Raw genomic sequence first — 19,822 nt, forward strand, 5'->3', positions numbered from 1 at the left:
TGGTGGTTGGGAAGTAACGCTCAAGCTCTTTTGAAAGCTGAGGTAGGGGCCGGGCGCGGTGGCTCACGCCTGTAATCCCAGCACTTTGGGAGGTGGAGGCAGCAGATCACCTGAGGTCAGGAGTTCAGTACCAGCCTGACCAACATGGAGAAACCCCGTCTCTACTAAAAATACAAAATTAGTTGGGTGTAGTGGCGCATGCCTGTAATCCCAGATACTTGGGAGGCTGAGGCAGGAGAACTGCTTGAACCTGGGAGGCGGAGGTTGCGGTGAGCCAAGATCGTGCCATTGCACTTCAGCCTGGGTAACAAGAGCGAAACTCCATCTCAAAAAAAAGAAAAAAAAAAAAAAAGAAAAAAGAGAGCTGAGGTAGGTGATCATGCACCAGCTGGAAGAGGGAAGGCCCTGGCTCTATCTCTTTCAAAATCTCTGCTAATGTTTGAAACATGTCAAAAATCCCAGTGTTCCCTCGTCACCCCCATAATTCCAATTTGGCTTTGAATGCAGCCACTTTATCTGCCGACTTGAACACAGTTGTCATTCTTCCCTGAAGTGACAGATTGAGTTTGTTGAGCAGGTTGAATACGTCGCACAAGTCAGCAAGTTTTGCGACTCATCCTATGTCACTGAAATATGCTGCTAGTGGGGACTATTTTTCTAAAAGAAATCTCTGGAGCAGCTCTCATAACTCAGAAACTCTGGCCAGTGATCTACCTTTGGAAAGCATCTCACTTCTGTGTATCAGAGAAGACGTGTGTGTACCGCGTCCATCTCCTCACAGAGCCGCGAGAACAGACCTCGTGAGTTAAAGGCATGCACTTTGCTGTGGCTGATCATTTCAATCACATCCTGCAAAACGTTCTTAAGTTCAGGTGATTTTTTCGGCACCGCTGCAAGAACAGATGTGAGTTAAAGCCCATGTACTTTAACGTGACTGATCATTTTAATCACAGCTTCCAAAACGCTGTTAAGTTCAGGCAACATTTTTTGGCTGGCCGGCATTTCTCCATGGATGACACAGCGTGTGGACTCACATTCAGAAGTGACCTCTTTGACCTGAGTAATGAAACCAGAAAGCCGTCCAGCCATGGCAGTCTCTCCGTCCATGCACAGACCAACATAAAGTGATCAATTCACCTTTCCTGATATGTAATCAAAGACGTGAATACCAGCTGTGGTGTGGGTTGGCAACAGAAGCACACATAACACATCCTCATGCACATCCTCCTGAACATATATGCACAAAAACAAGCATTGTTGCCTTGTTTTCAACATCGGTAGACTCGTCAACCCTGGGTTGCGTACCGCAGTGACTCATTAATCCCCTCTAACAATTGTGCCTCAATACCCTCTGTCGTTTCATCAATTCATCTAGTTATGGTGCTAGCCAAAAGAGGAATACGTGCTACCCTTTCAACTGCAGTCTCTCTCAAAAGTTCACGACAGATGTCCTTAGCAGCAGCAGGCAGGATCAACTCCACCAACAGTAAAGGGATTCCTAGCTTTAGCAATGCGGTTAGACACTAAGAGTGACGCTCTCAGTGCAGACACAGTCAACTAAGTGGTGGCCTTCAATCATTGCTTCTGTTCTTCGTGTTCGTGTTTTTTTTTTTCTTTTGAAAAACTCTAAAGGTTTGTCTTTTAATGCAAGGTGCTTGGTCTCCATGTGGCGAAGCGGTTTTGAAGGTTTTACGGCTTCACTGGATAGCCAGTGGTCACATATTATGCAAAGAGGGCTTGGGGAATATGAATCACTTGTTGCAATGAATCCATAATTGAAGCAGGGCTCTTGCTGTTTCCTTTTAAATGCAACTTTCTTTGAGTCTTCTGCTGTTTCACCATTGGGCCTTTCCCCCTTTTCAAAGAAGCTCTCCAGAGACGCTTGATTTTTTTCTTACTCATTCTGGCTAGGGTTAGCCGGTGGACTTACCCAAACTGTGACTGAGACACGTGCTGAGTGTGGGAAAGAGGCATGGACAGAAGTGGTAAGTAACATCACAGGCGGGCCACACGCAGCCTAAAATAAGCATCAGGTTCTGACGTAAAGCCTGCCGCCAGACGCAGCGGTACAACTGAAGTACATCAACTCACTTGCCACTATAAAGCCTGCCACCAGATGCAGCTTAAGCACCCGCCACTCACAGATATGGTTTTGATATGAGTCTGCAAGCAACTGACTTACTATGGTCTCTGTGCAGTCAAACCTCTCTGCTAATGCTTATCTGTATTTGCAGCCGTGCTCCAGTGCCAGCATCACCGCCTCAGCTCCACCGCAGATCATCGGGCATTAGATTCTCATAAGGAGTGCACAGCCTAGATCCCTTGCATGCAGAGTTCACAATAGGGTTCGTGTTCCTATGAAAATCGAATGCTGCTGCTAATCTGACAGGAGGCGGAACTCGGGGTAATGCGAGCAATGGGGAGCGGCTGTAAATACAGATGAAGCTTTGCTCACTCACCCACTCCTCACCTCCTGCTGTGAGCCCCAGTTCCTAACAGGCCACAGACCAGTACCAGTCCATGGCCCGGGAGATGGGAATCCCTGCTTTACATAAAAGGGATCACACAGTTTGCACTCTTTGGGTCTTGATGCATTTGCCCAACATTAACACCTGTGAGATGCATGAAAGCTGTTGTAGCCAGATGTCCTTTTTCATTGCTGCATAGTATTCCCCTCTGTGAATGGACCACAATCTACATCTCCAGTGTACTGCTGACTGGCATTTGGGTTGTTTCCAGTTTGGATTATCATAAAGAATGGCTAATGCTGAACACCTTTTTTTTGGTGAGTCAGGCACTCATTTTTTTGGGTCTGCACCCAGGAGTGGAACTCCTAGATCATGGGATAGGTGCAGGTTTAGCTTTAGTGGACTGTTAGCTTTGTGCATTTCCCATCTCACTTTTCCTTGCCTTTTGTCCTTTATTACCTCAAATTTCTTTTGGAAAGAGGTGGTGAACAAGAGTGAAATAAAGATTCCGAGTAACAGTGGTTATGATGAAATGATTCCATGATTCTCAGATCTGTGGTTAAACTTCTCTGTGATGGTGCTCACTGCGTGTTATGTATACAATTAAGAAAACAGAACTGGCTGGGTACGGTGGCTCACACCTGTAATCCCAGCACCTATGGAGGCCAAGGCAGGTATATCACCTGAGGTCAGGAGTTCCAGACTAGCCTGGCCAACACGGTGAAACCTCGTCTCTATTAAAAAAACAAAAACTAGCTAGGCGTGGTGGCAGACGCCTATAATCCCAGCTACTTTGGAGGCTGAGGCAGGAGAATCGCTTGAACTCGAGAGTCGGAGGTTGCAGTGAGCCGAGATCGCACCAGTGTACTCTGGCCTGGGCAACAAGAGCGAAACTTTGTCTCAAAAAAGAAAATAAAATAGAACCAACATGCATGCAACGTGAGAGAAACTGTTCAGTTCACTGTGGCATGTTTCCACAACAAAATGGCATATGGTCATTGAAAACAGTTTTGACATGGGAAAAGGTTCCCGTCTATCCTGGGGGTGGAGGGAGCACAGGGAGGCAGAACCGAAGAAAAAGTCAAGTTCCAAGTGGACTGAACGATGCCCAGCATTTTTGGGCTTTCAACTGATGGGAATTACATCTAATCACTAACGGTGACTGCCTCTCATGGAGAATATGATAAATTTCTGTTTTTCTATTACTTTATCCTTTACGATACTTTCCACATCTCCTATGATGAATATGTTTACAGTTGAAAAAGAGAAGAGTATAAGAGTCTGATTCCAAGATTCTATCATTTTTGAAGAGCTATAATTATGAGCCTCCTCTAAATAACCCCAGAGGTTCAGAGACCCTGGCAGCCCTCAGTGACGTGAATGGGGTGCTAGGCGCAGATTCTCAGTGACAGAGAGCTCTCAGGACAAAAGGCAGGATTCAGCCCCTGTGTCGGGCACCCTCCTAGCCCTCGGTTGCCCTCGGGACTGCTGAGCCCTGTGTGCTGGGCTGCCCTGTGCCCTGCTGACCTAGCTCCTCCCCATTCCGCAGACCCCTGGGTCTCTTCTATAGCAGCCAGGGGGACAGAAGTGGGCTGGGGTGGGCCAGGCATCAGGATCCCAACTGCTACGATGGCTTCAGTCCTGAGCAGCCCCTTCCTCTCTCTGAGGCCCAGGGTGCCCATGAACACTGAGCCAGAAGGAGAAGGTCCCCACAGGACTCTTCTCTCGGACACTGAGGCCCGCAGCTGGGGCAGAAATGGCTCTCACAGGTCTGACTCCCAAGCCCTGGGCAGGATGCACTAGCGAGTTGGGGTACAATTTCCCAGTTTGTTTTAAGCAGAAACTCAACCCATTTGACGCATCACACTGGAAATTAGAACTCACAGCAATTCCTGTCTTTGAAGCTCCCGTGAGTGCCCCTCCCTACCCCTCCCTGCAAGTCTTATGCAAACCAACCAGCCACAGGTTCCATCGGGCTTTTGTGGTGTGATCACCGCTAATTTTCCACGTTCCCTTTCGTTTTATTTTTCCTGCTCTAATTTATTAATTAGCTTCTCTGCTTGCAACACCATCTCTGCTTGCAGCCCCAGAGTGGATCTTTCAACGCTGTGAACTCCTCTAAATGTTTTCTCTGCTAATGTGTCTCAGTGGGGGACTGGAGAGGGAGCTTCCTGCTAAAATGGAGATTCCCCAGGGGAGGCCCCAGCCCTCCTTCCTGAGACCTGCAGCTTCCAGGTGTGTGGGTGAGCAGAATTTTGAAGAATGCATTGGACTTTGTCAGACCCAAATGCACCCATTAGTATCACAAGCAAGCATGGCTTATAAAATAATACCTAACATCTTATGGATTTTTAGGCACTAAATACTATTTTAAGCATTAATTAATCCTCAAAACAACTCTATGTAAAGGCATGATCATGCCCATCCAACAGCTGTGCCAACTGAGGCACAGAACAGTGAAGCAACTTGCCCAAGCCCACCCCGCCAGGAGAGGTGAAGCCAGGCTCGGCCCTGAAAGGCAGCTCAGCGTGCCCTTGGCCTGAACCACCACCCCACCGGGCTCTTCCTAAGGAGCCTCTCCCGGCTCAGAGCAGACCCCCAGTGGGGTGTGGCCCACCGTGATTCCTCTGGCCCTGAGAGGATCCAGGTTTACGGGGAAGGAAAGCTACCAGCTGATGCAGCTACAGGAAATAGCACTGCTAAGGTCCTTTTCTTATTAATGCATTGTACGTTTCGTTTCTTTCTTGTTGTTAAAAAAAAAATCCCCTTGGAAAATACTTTTGCAAGCACCCAGTGCTTATCTGGTACTTTCCAGCCTTCTGAAAGAATCTGTGGTTACTGGGACACATCACTCCCTCCCTCTTTGGGGACCCAGCGCAGGACACGCAGGCTGCCCTTCCTCCAGGCCCTCTCACGCTCAGGGATCTTGGATCTGGATCTTGCCAGATTCCTCTCTCCCTACCTGGTGCCCAATGCCACATCTGAGGAATTCATTCCATAAACAGCTACAGTGAATGAAGAAACAGCCGGCTCTGATGGTCCAGCTGCTCCACCCTAGCAGCTGGACCCGGCACTAGCCGAGCCAGCGTGTGCAACACACAAAGCGTTTCTGCATGAAGCCCTGTCTGCATTTTACCATCTTCCATCCCATTTTACCTGCTTCTCTAAATAAAACCATCTGGCCTCTCTTGAGCAATTCAGGTCTACAGATTCACCAAGCAGTAATTATTCACATCACAAAACCATCCTTTAACCAAAGGCACCAACATCCATCTCTAGGCACCGAGCGTATTGTGTTTGTAGAGACCGGGCTTGATGCACCTGAGTCCTTCCCACCCCACGCTCCCAGGAATTTAACCGAGGAGTGGTCTGGCCCCGCTGGAAGACAGGCTCTGGGCAGGCCTCCGAAGTCGGGCTTTGAAGGAAGAGGCAAATCTTGCCAGGTGGCACAGAGGACAGTCCTCCAGGGAGAAGGAATGGGACAGAGAAGGCAGGACGGGTGATGTTGGGAGCAGGCGGGGACAACAGGACCTCGGGGTGGCAGGCGGGGTGGAGCTTCCAGCCCAGAAGCCATGATCAAGCAAAGCCCAGAGCAACCACACTAGGGATCACTGTCCAGCGGTGCAGCTGCGTCCAGCCTGAGGGGGCAGAGGGTGGGAATGGCCGGTTAAGAAGAAGTCAGCGGTCATGCTGTGTCTCCCAGAGTCCTGGCCTCGGAGGAGGCTCCACAGCAACACCACCAGCCCCACTTGCAGACAAGAGCCAGCACAGCGCCTGGGAGGAGCACACAGCACCACTCCACAGCTGTGTGACCTTGGAAAGCCCCCTGAGCCTCTCTGGGCTTCAGCCTCCTCATCTGGGTAAACACCACCTGTGCTCACAGGGGTGTTGTGACCTCAAAGTGAGAAGATGCACTCACGGTCCTGTGACGGTTAATTTCACACGGCAGCCTGACCTGGCTAAGGGGTGCCACACAGCTGGTAAGTATGCTTTCTGGGTGTGTCTGTGAGGGCGTTTCTGGAAGAGATCAGCATATGGGTAGGTAGACCCAGCAAAGAGAATCCGCGCCACCAATTCGGGTGGGCATCCACCAATCCACTGAGGGCCCAGATAGAACAAAAAGGCGGGGAAGGGTGGCTTCTCTCTTCCTGAGCGGGGAGATCCTCCTTCTCCTGCTCTCAGGCCTCAGAGCTCCTGGTCCCCAGGCCTTCAGACTCTGGGACTTACCCACCAGACCCTCAGGCCTTAGATTTGGACTGAATGACAGCACCGGCGTTCCAGAGTCTCCAGTTTCCAGGTGGTGGATCACGGGACTTCTCAGCCTCCACCATTGCAGGAGCTGGTTCCCCAGATCAATCCCCGTATGCATCCCCATCTGTATCCCATTGGTTCTGCTCTCTGGCGAGCCCTGACTGATGTGGGTGCTTAGAATTGAGTCGGGCCATGGTCAGCACTCAAAGACGCTTCCGTCATATTACAGATGAGGAGAGTGGTGAGGCTGAGGGCACGCACTTCCCTGGCAGTTCTATATGAGCCCTGGCCCACGACAGGGAGGCACGGTGCTTTGTCCTGGGCACAGCGATGAACAACACAACTGTCTCCTCCCACCCCACAACGTCCAGCCATCAGCCCGCGAGGAAGGGGACTGAGCCCTCCAGCTTGACGACACAGCGGTGGGAGCACAGGGGAGATGCTCTGTGTGCTCTGCACAAGCAACGTCCCACCAGGCTGGACTCAATGGGTTGGAGATACAGGGGAACCAAGGGAGGAGGCTCCCTGGGGAGGGGGATTTTGCCTGGGGGAGAAGCTGAGCAGGAAGAGGAAGGCTATTTGGAGAGCCGCCCCAATGCTAGGGCACCCAGTCTATGAGGCAGAGGCCCGACCCAGGGGCCCGAGAATCAGTACTTTCTTACCCTGACGAGTGTATCTTTTCCTCATTACTCAACACTTAACGGGGTGACAGCCTGGATTAAACAGTAAGTCATCTGCAGCCCCATTAGGGCCCCAGCAAGATGGCTCCAAATTAAATCTAACAGTCAATGAAATCGTCAATATTTAATTTACTCATTGCAGGTGGCAATTTAGCCCTTGTGACAATATCGTTTAATGGCAGAAATACTGGGATTTATCACACATTATGGGACTGCAGAGCTGCCGAGCTTCCTTCACGAGGCGGCTGCTGCCCAGGGAGACCTCGAGGGACCCTCCACAAGCGACCCCAGGAGGTCTGAAGCCCAAGGCCAGTGGGACCATGAGGCCTGACCACCGGAAAGGCCCAGGGGACCTCTTGCTGGGCCCACCCAAGGCAGTGCTTTCTGTTTCTGGAATCCACTTTGGAAACAGAAAACTTGGGCTAAGGGACAGAGGCCCCTCCACGCGGTGGGCTCTCCCTCCTCCTCCGACCTCCCTCCCTTCTCATCAAAGCTGTACCCCAGATGCTCAGGGCTGGGCCTGCAGCATTCAGGAGCCAACCGAGTGAAGAGAGACAATGGCCACATCCACTCACCAACCACAGGGAAAGAGGAGGCAGCCGTCACGCCTCAGTCCTGGGCTCCATCCTCGTCCCAGCCCTCCTGCTGGTGGTGGGAGCTGTACCCAGAGGTCACTGCCCACACGGCAGTCCAATGGCCACCTCCACCTCAGCACCGCCCCCTCCCTCCTCCCTCTGAGCTCACAGCTGCCTCGTCCTGCGCATTCTTCTGTACCTGTGGCCTCCCTGGCTGTGGACCCACAGCCTCTGCAGGGGACTGCAGTCTCTGAAAGCCAGGCTGAGAACACAGTTGCACAGTGCTCACCCAGCCTCAGAGGGTCAGGCACCGGACGGTGCACTTTACAACAATTAGCTCTTCTGGAAAAAGTTGTTTCGGTTTTTTCCCTGATCCTTTGCATGAAAAACCCTCTGAAGGTACAAAGCAAATTCCTGAACTGACTGTAGAAGGAGTGAGAGAGACCTGGGCTGCCGCACAGGGCTGGCATGCGGGCCCCTCACAGCCTTCCTCTGGGGCTTGCCACTGTCCGTCCTCATGCTGCCTCCAGAGGGAGTTCTCAAATCCATTTTATGTGTATTTAAATAACGTATGCACAGAATCAATAGTCAGCCCTCTCTTTCTTCTACCGCTGCTTTTTTTCTCCTGCCTTGAGTTCCCATTTGTTTGGCGTTCTGGGTTCCTCCTGCTAATTTTTCCTAAGTTCCCTGATAGAATTATAAAACCCTTTCCTGTGCAAACACACCAGGCATCAGTTCCCTGTTGCTAACCTAAATAGGTTTCTCTCCAGGCTGCTGGGGCCCCCTCTCCTGAATTTAGATCTGCTGTTTTTCTGGGCTTAATTCCTTTATTTCAGTAGAATGCCTCACCCAGTATCTTTCTGAGAAAGGCGACGCATGAAATAAGCATTCTAAACCCGTTCAGGCCTTGTGTGTCTAAAAGCAGAACTCTAGCTGGACCTGATCACCACTGGACATTTTTTTTTTTTTTTTGAGATGGAGTTTCGCTCTTGTTGCCCAGGCTGGAGTGCAATGGCGCGATCTCGGCTCACCACAACCTCCACCTCCCAGGTTCAAGCGATTCTCCTGCCTCTGCCTCCCGAGTAGCTAGGATTACAGGCATGTGCTATCATGCCTGGCTAACTTTTTGTATTTTTAATAGAGACGGGGTTTCTCCATTTGGTCAGGCTGGTCTCGAACTCCCGACCTCAGGTGATCTGCCCACCTTGGCCTCCCAAAGTGCTGGGATTACAGGTGTGAGCCACCACGACAGCCCCCATCCCTGGGCATTTTGAGTGCACGACTCTGCTGGCTTCTGGCATCCGGGCCTGCTGCCTCCCTGACTCTCTCCCTACACAGTGAGGGTCTAGTCGGGGTCTGCTGAAACCCTGTGCTCTGGAATTTCATGGTGTGCACTGCAGTGTGGACCTTTTCCTGTTAGTTGTGCTGAGAACTCCGAGAGCTTTCTCAACCCGGAGGCCTGTGTCCTTCGATTAGGAATGTGCACATTGCATCCATATGGTTCTCTCTGCCAATACCCCTGTTTTATCTGAAACTCCTTAGTTAGAGATTTTCCAATTTTCTCAACTTCTCTCACCTAGTCCCATTCCATTAGCGTCCTATTCTACTCTTTGAGAGATCTCCTCAGCTTCATCTTCCAGCCTTCCTTTGATTTTTTTTTTTTTTTTTTTTTTTTTGAGATGGAGTCTTACTCTGTCACCCATGCTGGAGTGCAGTGGCATGATCTTGGCTCACAGCAACCTCCGCCTCCTGGGTTCAAGTGACTCTCCTGCCTCAGCCTCTTGAGTAGCTGGAATTACAGGCGCCTGCCACCACACCTGGCTAATTTTTTATTTTTATTTTTGTATTTTGTAGAGACAGGGTTTTTGTATTTTGTAGAGACGGGGTTTCACCATGTTGGCTAGGCTGGTCTTGAACTCCTGACCTCTGGTGATCTGCCCACCTTGGCCTCCCAAAGTGCTGGGGTTACAGGTGTGAGCCACCGCACCCGGCCCCTCCTTTGATCATTTAACTGCGCAATCTACATTTCCAATGTCTCCTGCTGGTTCCATGGCCGGCCCCGCTGGAGCGCCTGTTCTGATTCAGATGGTATACTGCCTGATTTCTCGGAGGATGAGACAGTTTTGGAAGCCTTCTTCTGCTTCCTGCATGGCCTCCTCTCCCTCTCAGATCCGGTTTCTGTTTTGGTCTCTTCCTTGTTGGAAGCTCCCCTGGCATGTCCTGAGACTGCTGATGATCTGCTCCCATCTCAGGACGAGGCTCGCATGCCTTCTGGAGGGCCTGGTGTGTTGGTGATGCTGAATAACAAATGTCTTCTAGAGAATGATGACATTTTGCCCCGACCCATCTTCTCATACTCTCCACTTTGTGATTCACGCCTTAACTACGGGACTTATCACATTTCTGGGCCTCTTTGTGCCTTGCTCTTGTGTGGGCCTTTGCTCCTGCTGTCTGTCCCCTGCCTGGGTCCTTCCTCCTCCTTTCTAACTGGTCCAAGTGGACAGTAGACACCAGTTCTAGCCAAGTGCTCTCTCAAGGCCCCAAGAAAAGTGTTTGTGCTCAGCAGGTTTCATTCACACCTGGCTGCCCCGGCTCTGACCTGGAGACCAGTCTGTCTCTGCTCCTACCACGGAGAGGAAGCCAGTGATGGGGAAGACTGGCAGGTCATTCAAGATGCACCCAGGTGGTCCCGGTGCTGCAGAGGATGTCTGAGCTGGGCACAGCAGAAGCATCAATGAGAGGGAGCCAGTGCTACCCACGGGAAAAGTCTTCATGGAGGAGCTGATCACTGAAAACAGTAAAGAGATGACCACCAGGGGAACAGGAGGGAAGATATCCCAGGAGATGAAATGGCTTCAGTTGAGACCAGAGTTATGAAAGAAGCCCAGGAGTTCAGGAGATGCAAGCACAGGACCCAACCAGAGCAACAGCAAGGGCAGGGGCTGAGCCAAACGTGAGGCAGCAAAAGTAAGCCTGGCCAGCTTGTGAGAAGTCAGGGCAGCGCCTCCAGGAAGCGCTCTGAGCAGGGCCAGTCTCCACCCCAGAGAGCGGGCCCTCCGCTGTGTGACCTCAGCACCGGACGTGTCTCTAGTCCTGCAACCCTCTCTAATGGCTGAAACCTGAGCATTCCTCACTGCACACGAAATGCTTCACACAAGGCCTGGCACCCAGTAGATGCTAAGTAAACATCCGCCTGAAAAGACAACCATCCCAGGAAACCCCTGGACGCTGAGGCCTCCACAAGCCACGGGACCCAAGGCTGGATCCATTTTTCCATTTCCTGCTGATCTTCAGTTGTCTTGGCTCTGCAGAGACGCCCCCTTCCCTCCACAGCTACCTGAGTTCGGTGTCAGATGACATCAAGACAATTATCTCTTTTTTCCTTCACTGCCCGAAAAATGAGAAAATTCTGGGTCGACACTGCAGTCCGGCAGCACCAGGCAAAGCCCCCCACTCCTGTCCCTCAACGACTATGGTCACCTGCTCCCCAGGTCGTCGCCCAACCCTCCACTGGCTGGAAGTCACTGCTGTCTGCACCCATATTAAGGGGCCATGGGTGACCTGGGCTGCTGGTTCTTCCCATGTCTGTCTTCCCCAAGAGCTGTGTGATAGTCACTGTGTCAACTGGACTGGACCATGGGGTACACAGACATCTGGGCAAGCATTACTTTGGTGTGTCTGTGAGGATGTTTCTGGATGAGACTCACATCTGAATTAGTGGCCTGAGTAAAGCAGGTGGCCCTCACCAGTGAATGAGGGTCTCATCCAACCAGCCGGAGGCCTGAACAGAGCAAACTGTCTCAGTAAGAGAAGTCCTGCTGTCTGCCTGCACTCAGCCTGGACACCAGGGTTTTCTTGCCTTTGGACGCAAACTGATGCATCAGCCTTTCTCAGGTCTCCAGCCTCCTTTTGGACTGGAACTTACAGCATCGACTCTTCAGGGTCTCCAGCTTGCCCACTGCAGATCCTGGGACTTGAGGATCTGTCCCTTCAAAATCACGTGAGTTGATTTTTTTTTTTTTTTTTTGAGAAGGAGTCTCATTCTGTCACCCAGGCTGGAGTGCAGTGGCGCGATCTCGGCTCACTGCAACTTCTGACTCCCTGGTTCAAGCGATTCTCATGCCTCAGCCTCCCGAGTAGCTGGGATTACAGGTACGCGCCACCACACCCGGCTCATTTTTGTATTTTTAGTAGAGATGGGGTTTCACCAGGTTGGCCAGGATGGTCTCAATCTCTTGACCTCGTGATCCACCTGCCTCAGCCTCCCAAAGTGCTGGGATTACAGGCATGAGCCACCGTGCCCAGACTGATTTTTTATACAATTTCAACTTTTATTTTAGATTCAGGGGGTACAGGTGCAGGTTACATAGGTATACTTCGTGATGCTCAGATATGGGGTACAACTGATCCTGTCACCCAGGTAGTGAGCACAGTACCCAACAGGTTTTCAACCCTCGCTCCCCTCCTTCCCTCTCTGCTCTAGGAGTCCCTAGTATCCACTGTTGCCGTCTTTATGTCCCTGTGAATCTAATGTTTAGCTCTTACTTCCAAGTGAAAACGTGGTAATTGGTTTTCTGTTCCTGCTCTATTTGCTTAGGATAATGGCCTACAGGCTGGGCGTGGTGGCTCATGCCTATAATACGAGCACTTTGGGAGGCCTACGTGGGCAGAGCACCTGAGGTCAGGAGTTCAAGACCAGCCTGGTCAACATGGTGAAACCCAGTCTCTACTAAAAATATGAAAATAAGCCAGGCGTGGTGGTGCACCCCTGTAATCCCAGCTATTCGAGAGGCAGAGACAGGAAAATCGCTTGAACCAGCATGGCAGAGGTTGCAGTGAGCCGAGGTTGCGCGCACCACTGCAATCCAGCCTGGGTGACAGAGCGAGACTCTGTCTCAAAATAAATAAATAAATAAATAAATAAATAAATAAATAAATAAATAAATAAGTATAATGACCTCCAGCTGCATTCATGTTGTTGCAAAGGGCATTATTTTATTTTTTTTATGGCTGTGTAGTATTCCATGGTGTATATGTACCACATTTTCTTTATTCAATCCACTACTGATGGGCAGTTAGGTTGTTTCCATGTCTTTGCTATTGTGAGTAATGCTGAGATGTACACACAAGTGCATGTGTCTTTTGGGTAGAATGATGTATTTTCTTTCCAATATATACCCAGTTAATGGGATTGCTGGGTCGAATGATAGCTCTGTTTTAAGTTCTTTGAGAAATCTCCAAACTGCCTTCCATGGTGGCTGAACTAATTTACATTCCCACCAAGAGTGTATAAGCATTCCCTTTTCTCTGCAGCCTCACATAACTTTTTAATGATCTGTAGATGTGCCTCAACTTACGATGAAGTTACATCCCAATAAAGTCACTGTAAGTTGAAAATATCCTAAGTTGAAAATACATTTAACACACCTGGCCTGCTGAACATCATAGCCTAGCCCAGCCTAACTTAGTGTGCTCAGAACACCTAACATTGGCACGGCTGATGGGAGCTGCAGCTCACAGCTGCTACCTAGCATTGCAAGTGAGTATCACATGGAATAGTGCTAGCCTGGGAAAAGATCAAAATTCGAAGTATGTTTTCTACTGAACGTGTATTGCTTTTGCACCATGATAGAGTCACAAAAGCGTAGTAAGTGAAACCATCATCAGTCAGGGACCATCTGTACACCACACATCCTACTGGCTGTATTTCTCTGGGGAACTCTGACAAATACAAGCTGGGTCCCATATAACCCAGCGTCTTGCTCAGAGGGAACACCAGGTACTATATGGACACATGCCTGGATGAAGAGCTGCCTGCAGGTGCCTCACGGAACGGTGGGGGATGGAGGCTGGGGCAGGGTGGGGGCGTGCTTTACTTGCGATGTGGCCAGAAGACTCAGCCCCGATGCATTTAGAGGCCCTACAAGAACACCTCATAGCACCAGGAATAGAGCCACGCAGTACAGTTTTCTCTTCCAAGCACCATGATGATAAAACAAATCATGACTCGTTCTACCTTTGCATTACTTCATGGTTTGCAAGGTACTGGCTCATCCGGTTCTTTCAACAACCCTGGGCAGACATTGCCATCTGGAAATGAGGAAGCTGAGCTCTCTGGGGGCACAGGGGCTGCCCCCCAGATCCCTCCTCGTAACAGAATCAAGATCTCAGCTTCTCACAAGGACACTCTGCAGCTGTGACATGGACTCCCTGCTCTCCCTTCTGGGAACAGAGGGGAAACCTCATGGTAGGCCTGGCCTGGCAGCCACGCTCACATCACTGCAGCAGCCCCGAGGGCAAGACAGCACACTGGTGACGGAGGGCGACCCGCCACGCTCACACCACTGCAGCGGCCCCGAGCGCAAGACAGCACACTGGTTAGGGAGGATGACCCACCATGCTGAACTGTGTTTTGAGGGTACTGAGGGTGGATCAGCCCTCACTGTTAAGGATTTTGTTTTTTTACCTAGAAATAAAGTGACTTCTATGAAGCCCTCACTTCTATCAAGCAGGGTCTGAGAGCCCTAAGATGACGTGACCCATGGTTTCTCCAATCCTTTCTCAGCAACCCTCGTCATGGTCATCATCATCCCCAGCAAGAAGTGGGGCTGAAGGACGAAAGAAGAGAACGGATAAGAAGATGCTTTGTAAACAGCAAGGCAGCCTCCAGGCACTCACCGCAGACTTTGTTTTAACTCAGAGAACCCGAGGCCTTCCCTGGCTGTACGCTCCCAGGGGCCATGTGGGGCTGAGTCCCATGCCAGGCCCAGCACCTGAACTCAGCCCACAGCAGAGTCAGGTGACATCTGAAGGACAAACACCACCAAAGTTCGGAGAAGCAGGCCCACCCCACACCTCTGCTCAAAGCTTCTCTCTCCATGTGGGGGACCCCAAGGGCCAGCCACACAAGACATTTCTTAATTTTGTGGACACACCTGTCACCTGCCTTTGACTCAAATCATTGACTTCCCGGTAATGAATCAAAGCCTGGCACACAGAGGGCACTCAGGGTCATCTTTGGAAGGGCACTGGCTCCAGGGCCAGCCAGCTGTGTTCCAGCCCTGACCTTGGCCCCGTCCAGCTGTGTGTTGGGAGGGTTGCTGGAAGCCTCGGCTTCCTTCTCACAGGAGTGGACCCAACAAGAGCAAGAGCATGTGTTTCCTGGGGCTGTGGGGAAGATGAAACAGATGAATATCTGTACGTATGTGCTGCCACTAGACAGTGACAAACACAGAGGATTCAATATACTCGTTAATATTAATATTCACCGAGGCCTCAACCCTCTGTCTTCCCTGCATCACTGTTTAACCATTATCTTCCCTAAACACAGACCCACCCAGAGACACATTCAACAGTGAGGCCACTCTTCCCAATGCAGCCTCGGCCCGAGGGAGGATGGGACTTCGCGTGGTGCACCCCGGCCCCCCTGCACTGACTCTCGCACCCCTGAACCTGGGGTCTCCCACTGAGCAGCTCAGGCCCGGCCATTTGGCAACCCTGGGGGCGCAGAGGAGGACCACTCCCAAACCTCCGATCTTCAGCAGCGAAACAACAGCCCCTGACTCGGCAGGAGAAGATTTTACTCACTGCGGCTCAGCATTTAAATGACCCGATTATGCTAATTCCAGCTGCAGTGATTAGTAACTACATTTTAAAGGGAGATGACTCCCAGGGTGAGGTCTTTGGGGAAAAGTTTTTGCCTGCGGCACAAGTTCCCATGTGACTTTAGACAACCAGTGGGTCTACTCTGTTCATTCATTCATTCACTCATTCATTCACTTATTTTCTAGGAGGGATTTTAAAAGCCTCTTTTTTTCCATCCCCAGTCTCGGGCCCAAGTCTCCTGGCCACCTGACCTCCCGGAGACTCACAGTAAACTGGGCCTGAAGCCGCCTCTCAGGCCAGTTGTCAGTGCAGCAGGTGTGGACCAAACCTGCTCTTGCTGCCCTCTGCAGTGTGAGGCCGGGCAGCACCTTAACATCTCTGAGCCTTGGCTCCTGTCCGTACACTGGAGATGAGGTGGTTGGGAAAACAATGCACATAGGGTGCCTGGGGCAGGGGCATCTCAGGGGCTCACGTCCTTTCCCTCCCCTGTGATATGGGGGGGCTCCCAACAGGGTGCCTGCAATGTGGCGTGAACACCGCAGCCACTCTGAGTCCCAGCCTGGGACTCAACCGGCTTGAACAGCAGCCCGAAGACGGGCTTTGCTGGACCATCCCCCTGTGCCACCTGTCCAGGGCAGCTGCCAGGCCAGGCTTCCTGACCTCTGAACACAGCCGCCTCTGGCCAACTCGGCTGCACACCTGCTTGTATGTGGATGGCCACGCTCATCCCCCTCAAGATGCCTCCCAGCCTCTTCCCCTCTGCACAGCCCTCAGATGTGGGTCCTTTGGGTCTGTGCCTATCCCTCCCCCGCCACCACTACACTAGCCACCTGCACCCAGTGGAGCTCACCATCTGTCCAGCCAGAACTCAGTCACCCTGCCCCACCCTCCCTACCCCATAGGTTCTGCCACTTCCGACTTTTTCCATCCTGCACGGCCCTGGTCCTCCTGTCAGTCCAGGTTCTCACCATTTTCCCAGTTCTTGGCTGAGGGGTTTCCCTCTATCACCCCAGATGCAGCCTCTCCTCCCTGCCTCCTTTCCCAGCACCCCGAGCTGAGACGATTCCCCCGGCCCCCCAGGTGTTCTGGCTGTCTGGGCCGTCTGTCTCCCTCGCCCTCCAGACCAGAGCTGAGTGGCTGGTATCTGACCTGGGAACAGTGGAGCAGGACCACACTGCCCACTGGCTGGGAAGTCAGACTGCCACACTGGAGCCACTGCCAGATGCCAGGCAATGGGGCGGACGGGGCCATCCCAGCAGCCTGGGGTTAGTGCCAGCCATGTATCACAAGGACCCTCAGCAGGGACTCCTAGGCACAGGGGGTCAGGACACCCGCTACCCCAAAGCTGCACACCCCCTGCTCCACCACTTCCTCTCTAAAGGAGGTGAGCCCCATCCAGAAATCCCACTTCCAAAGGCCCGGCTCCCACGGGCCTGCTCATCCACTGGGCACCCAAGGGAGTGCTGTGTCTTCCTCTGGAGACAGGTGTTTCTCCAGCCATCCCTCCAGCCTGGAAAGCCCCTTCCACAGCTCAACTCTCCTCCTCCAGAGCCTGCCAGATGCCCTCCCATATCCTGGGCACTCCCTGCATCCCTCCAGTCCCTCGCTCCTACGCTGCCTGGGCCTCCTAGACAGGCTCCGGGGCCCCAACCCAGCTTTCCAGCATAAAGGGAGAGGCAGAGCCGGGGACGTCCCCAACCACGCGACGAGCCCTGCTGCTCACTGAGCTTCAAAAAACCCGGAGTCTCCAGCCCCTTTTTGAGAGAAGTCTGAACCTTGTCGGGTGCAGGCACTTGCCCAAGGTCACACAATCTGCGTGAAGGTCAAAGCAGACAAGCTGGGCCCCCAAGCCCAGCTCTTGCCACACAACCCTTGGGCAGGCCAGCGTCTACTGGGAGCTTTGGGGCCACTGCAGCGTCCCTGTGAAAAGACAGGCCCCAGCACTGGAGATGCAAGAGACCAAGCCCCTGTCCCCAGGGAGTCCCTGGGCAGGCAGGGAGACCACAGGTCAAGGCCAGGCAGGTGCGGTGAAGGGAGCCAGAAGTCCCCCCTTCAGAGCCTGGGTCCCTCCATCCGTCTGTCACAGGTGGGGGCCAGGCCAACCCTGCCAGCTGCCACACACATCAAGGCCCCAGCATGAGGTAGCGGTAGCCCCCGCAGTAACCTCCAGCAAAGCCATCAAGACCAAGAAAAATTGTGATGGGCGATGGCTTTGAAATCTGAGGAGTGAGGTCCAGTCCAAGATGGAAAAGGTAGCATCGCTGCAGAGGCTCCCAGAGCAGTGCCCACACTCGAGTTAGTGCATTATATAGATAGATAGACGCTTTCTTGACAGACTTTGCAAGGCTGATCTGTCTCCCACCCCCCAGCCTCTCCATCCAACTTGCAATCTCCCCCAGAGCCCATTGGCCAAGTCCCCTGTGTGCAGGTTGAGAAAAAAACACAGGTAAAGACGACCACACCTCAATGCCTCTGCAAGAAAACACGATTCTCTTTCTGCTTCTCCATGGAGAGCCACGTGGAGCTGAATCAGGAACTTTCTCCAACCACTGAGTCCCCTGAGGTGGGGGCTGGATGTCCTCTCGCTCACGGGGGGTGGCCACCAATGCGCCCTGCACAGAGACCAGGGGACAGAGGCCGGGCCACGACAGAAGAGGCCTTTTACTTTTTTTTTTTTTTTTTTTTTGAGATGGAGTCTTGCTCTGTGGCCAAGGCTGGAGTGCAGAGGCGCAATCTCAGCTCACTGCAAGCTCCACCTCCCGGGTTCATGCCATTCTCCTGCCTCAGCCTCCCGAGTAGCTGGGACTACAGGTGCCCATCACCACACCTGGCTAATTTTTTTGTATTTTTAGTAGAGACGGGGTTTCACCGTGTTAGCCAGGATAGTCTCGATCTCCTGACCTCATGATCTGCCTGCCTCGGCCTCCCAAAGTGCTGGGATTACAGGCGTGAGCCACTGTGCCCGGCCAGTCTTTTACTTTTTAAAAAATAAATTTTATTCCAGAATAGTTTTTGATTACGGAAAAGTTATGAAGATATAGCACAGAGCATTCCCCAGTAGCCCACGCTGTTTCTGCGACTGTTAATGTCTGACACCGGCCTGGTGCATCTGCCTCCACTAGGGAACCAATGTCATGCACACAGTTTGTTAACTGAAGTCCACACTGTGTTCAGGCTTCCTTTGTTTCTCCCAATGTCCTTTTCTGTCTCAGGATCCCAACGAGGATCCCACATGACATTTCATCATCGCTCTCCCCAGGCTGCCCTGGGCTGGGAGAGTTTCTGACTCTCCTTGTTATTGATGACCTGGACAGTCTGAGGACGGGTCAGGAATTTCGCAGAATGTCCTCTTAGTGGGATGTGTCTGTTTCTCTCTTGATGAGGCTGGGGTTATGGGCTTTGGGGAGGAAGACTGTAAAGGTGTCTGGTACCATTTCCATCACGTATCAAGAGCGCATCTTGTCGACCTGGCTTGTCATTGTTGGTGTTGACCTTGGTGACCTGGCTGAGGTGTGACTGTCAGGCGTCTTCAGAGCAGTTACTTTACTTCCTTCCTTCCACACTGTGATCTTTGGGAGAAAGCCACTGCGCCCAGCTCACCCTTAAGGGGTGAGAGTTACCCCTCCCTCCTTGAGGGCGGAGTAGCTACATAAATTATTTGAAACTCTTCTGCATGGAAGATTTGTCTCGTCTTTATTCATTTATTGAATCATTTATTTGCATCAGCAGGGACTAAGAAATGTTTACTCTGTACTTGGTCTATGATGCAACACATATTGAGTATCCCTTATCCGAAATGCTTGGGATAAGGCTGGGTACAGCGGCTCACACCTGTAATCTCAGGACTTTAGGAGGCTGAGGTGGGCAGATCACTTGAGGTCAGGAGTTCGAGACCAGCCTGGCCAACATGGCAAAACCCTGTCTCTACTAAAAATACAAAAAGTAGCCGAGCGTGGTGGCACGTGCTTGTAATGCCAGCTACTCAGGAGGCTGAGGCAGAAGAATTGCTTGAACCTGGGAGGCAGAGGTTGCAGTGAACTGAGATTGCGCCACTGCACTCCAGCCTAGTCAACAGAGTGAGATTCCATCTCAAAAAAAAAAAAAAAAAAAAATACCTGGGACCATACATGTTTTGGAATTTATATTTTTTGTATTTTGAAGGACTTGCATTATACTTATCCACTGAGCCTCGCTAACCCCAAAATCCAAAATCCAAAATGCTCTAATGAGTGCTTCCTTTGAG

General features: G+C 51.7%; 1 protein-coding gene across 9 annotated transcripts in view, besides 13 other annotated features; it reads right to left on the reverse strand.

The window, feature by feature from the left end:
* The window catches only part of PHF21B (PHD finger protein 21B), a 128,844-nt gene that overhangs the window by 67,812 nt on the left and 41,210 nt on the right, over positions 1 to 19,822 (reverse strand). The gene's annotated exons all lie outside the window — the stretch shown is intronic.
* Positions 3,474 to 4,244: an enhancer, noted in NCBI's record as "H3K27ac-H3K4me1 hESC enhancer chr22:45348327-45349097 (GRCh37/hg19 assembly coordinates)". NCBI's record gives its function as "activates a minimal SCP1, AML or CMV promoter by ChIP-STARR-seq in naive H9 embryonic stem cells {active_cell/tissue: H9 hESC(naive)}" and the evidence as "EXISTENCE:reporter gene assay evidence [ECO:0000049][PMID:30033119]".
* Positions 4,245 to 5,014: an enhancer, noted in NCBI's record as "OCT4-NANOG-H3K27ac-H3K4me1 hESC enhancer chr22:45349098-45349867 (GRCh37/hg19 assembly coordinates)". NCBI's record gives its function as "activates a minimal SCP1, AML or CMV promoter by ChIP-STARR-seq in naive H9 embryonic stem cells {active_cell/tissue: H9 hESC(naive)}" and the evidence as "EXISTENCE:reporter gene assay evidence [ECO:0000049][PMID:30033119]".
* Positions 5,211 to 5,260: an enhancer, noted in NCBI's record as "active region_19214". NCBI's record gives its function as "activates an Ori minimal core promoter by ATAC-STARR-seq in GM12878 lymphoblastoid cells {active_cell/tissue: GM12878}" and the evidence as "EXISTENCE:reporter gene assay evidence [ECO:0000049][PMID:35858748]".
* Positions 5,321 to 5,370: an enhancer, noted in NCBI's record as "active region_19215". NCBI's record gives its function as "activates an Ori minimal core promoter by ATAC-STARR-seq in GM12878 lymphoblastoid cells {active_cell/tissue: GM12878}" and the evidence as "EXISTENCE:reporter gene assay evidence [ECO:0000049][PMID:35858748]".
* Positions 6,163 to 6,402: an enhancer, noted in NCBI's record as "active region_19216". NCBI's record gives its function as "activates an Ori minimal core promoter by ATAC-STARR-seq in GM12878 lymphoblastoid cells {active_cell/tissue: GM12878}" and the evidence as "EXISTENCE:reporter gene assay evidence [ECO:0000049][PMID:35858748]".
* Positions 7,326 to 8,095: an enhancer, noted in NCBI's record as "H3K27ac-H3K4me1 hESC enhancer chr22:45352179-45352948 (GRCh37/hg19 assembly coordinates)". NCBI's record gives its function as "activates a minimal SCP1, AML or CMV promoter by ChIP-STARR-seq in naive H9 embryonic stem cells {active_cell/tissue: H9 hESC(naive)}" and the evidence as "EXISTENCE:reporter gene assay evidence [ECO:0000049][PMID:30033119]".
* Positions 11,014 to 11,597: an enhancer, noted in NCBI's record as "H3K4me1 hESC enhancer chr22:45355867-45356450 (GRCh37/hg19 assembly coordinates)". NCBI's record gives its function as "activates a minimal SCP1, AML or CMV promoter by ChIP-STARR-seq in naive H9 embryonic stem cells {active_cell/tissue: H9 hESC(naive)}" and the evidence as "EXISTENCE:reporter gene assay evidence [ECO:0000049][PMID:30033119]".
* Positions 14,369 to 14,991: an enhancer, noted in NCBI's record as "H3K4me1 hESC enhancer chr22:45359222-45359844 (GRCh37/hg19 assembly coordinates)". NCBI's record gives its function as "activates a minimal SCP1, AML or CMV promoter by ChIP-STARR-seq in naive H9 embryonic stem cells {active_cell/tissue: H9 hESC(naive)}" and the evidence as "EXISTENCE:reporter gene assay evidence [ECO:0000049][PMID:30033119]".
* Positions 14,992 to 15,615: an enhancer, noted in NCBI's record as "H3K27ac-H3K4me1 hESC enhancer chr22:45359845-45360468 (GRCh37/hg19 assembly coordinates)". NCBI's record gives its function as "activates a minimal SCP1, AML or CMV promoter by ChIP-STARR-seq in primed H9 embryonic stem cells {active_cell/tissue: H9 hESC(primed)}" and the evidence as "EXISTENCE:reporter gene assay evidence [ECO:0000049][PMID:30033119]".
* Positions 15,616 to 16,237: an enhancer, noted in NCBI's record as "H3K27ac-H3K4me1 hESC enhancer chr22:45360469-45361090 (GRCh37/hg19 assembly coordinates)". NCBI's record gives its function as "activates a minimal SCP1, AML or CMV promoter by ChIP-STARR-seq in naive H9 embryonic stem cells {active_cell/tissue: H9 hESC(naive)}" and the evidence as "EXISTENCE:reporter gene assay evidence [ECO:0000049][PMID:30033119]".
* Positions 16,238 to 16,861: an enhancer, noted in NCBI's record as "H3K27ac-H3K4me1 hESC enhancer chr22:45361091-45361714 (GRCh37/hg19 assembly coordinates)". NCBI's record gives its function as "activates a minimal SCP1, AML or CMV promoter by ChIP-STARR-seq in naive H9 embryonic stem cells {active_cell/tissue: H9 hESC(naive)}" and the evidence as "EXISTENCE:reporter gene assay evidence [ECO:0000049][PMID:30033119]".
* Positions 16,862 to 17,483: an enhancer, noted in NCBI's record as "H3K4me1 hESC enhancer chr22:45361715-45362336 (GRCh37/hg19 assembly coordinates)". NCBI's record gives its function as "activates a minimal SCP1, AML or CMV promoter by ChIP-STARR-seq in naive H9 embryonic stem cells {active_cell/tissue: H9 hESC(naive)}" and the evidence as "EXISTENCE:reporter gene assay evidence [ECO:0000049][PMID:30033119]".
* Positions 17,484 to 18,106: an enhancer, noted in NCBI's record as "H3K4me1 hESC enhancer chr22:45362337-45362959 (GRCh37/hg19 assembly coordinates)". NCBI's record gives its function as "activates a minimal SCP1, AML or CMV promoter by ChIP-STARR-seq in primed H9 embryonic stem cells {active_cell/tissue: H9 hESC(primed)}" and the evidence as "EXISTENCE:reporter gene assay evidence [ECO:0000049][PMID:30033119]".

The sequence above is a fragment of the Homo sapiens genome, chromosome 22 (assembly GCF_000001405.40).
Source record: "Homo sapiens chromosome 22, GRCh38.p14 Primary Assembly".
NCBI lineage: Eukaryota > Metazoa > Chordata > Mammalia > Primates > Hominidae > Homo > Homo sapiens.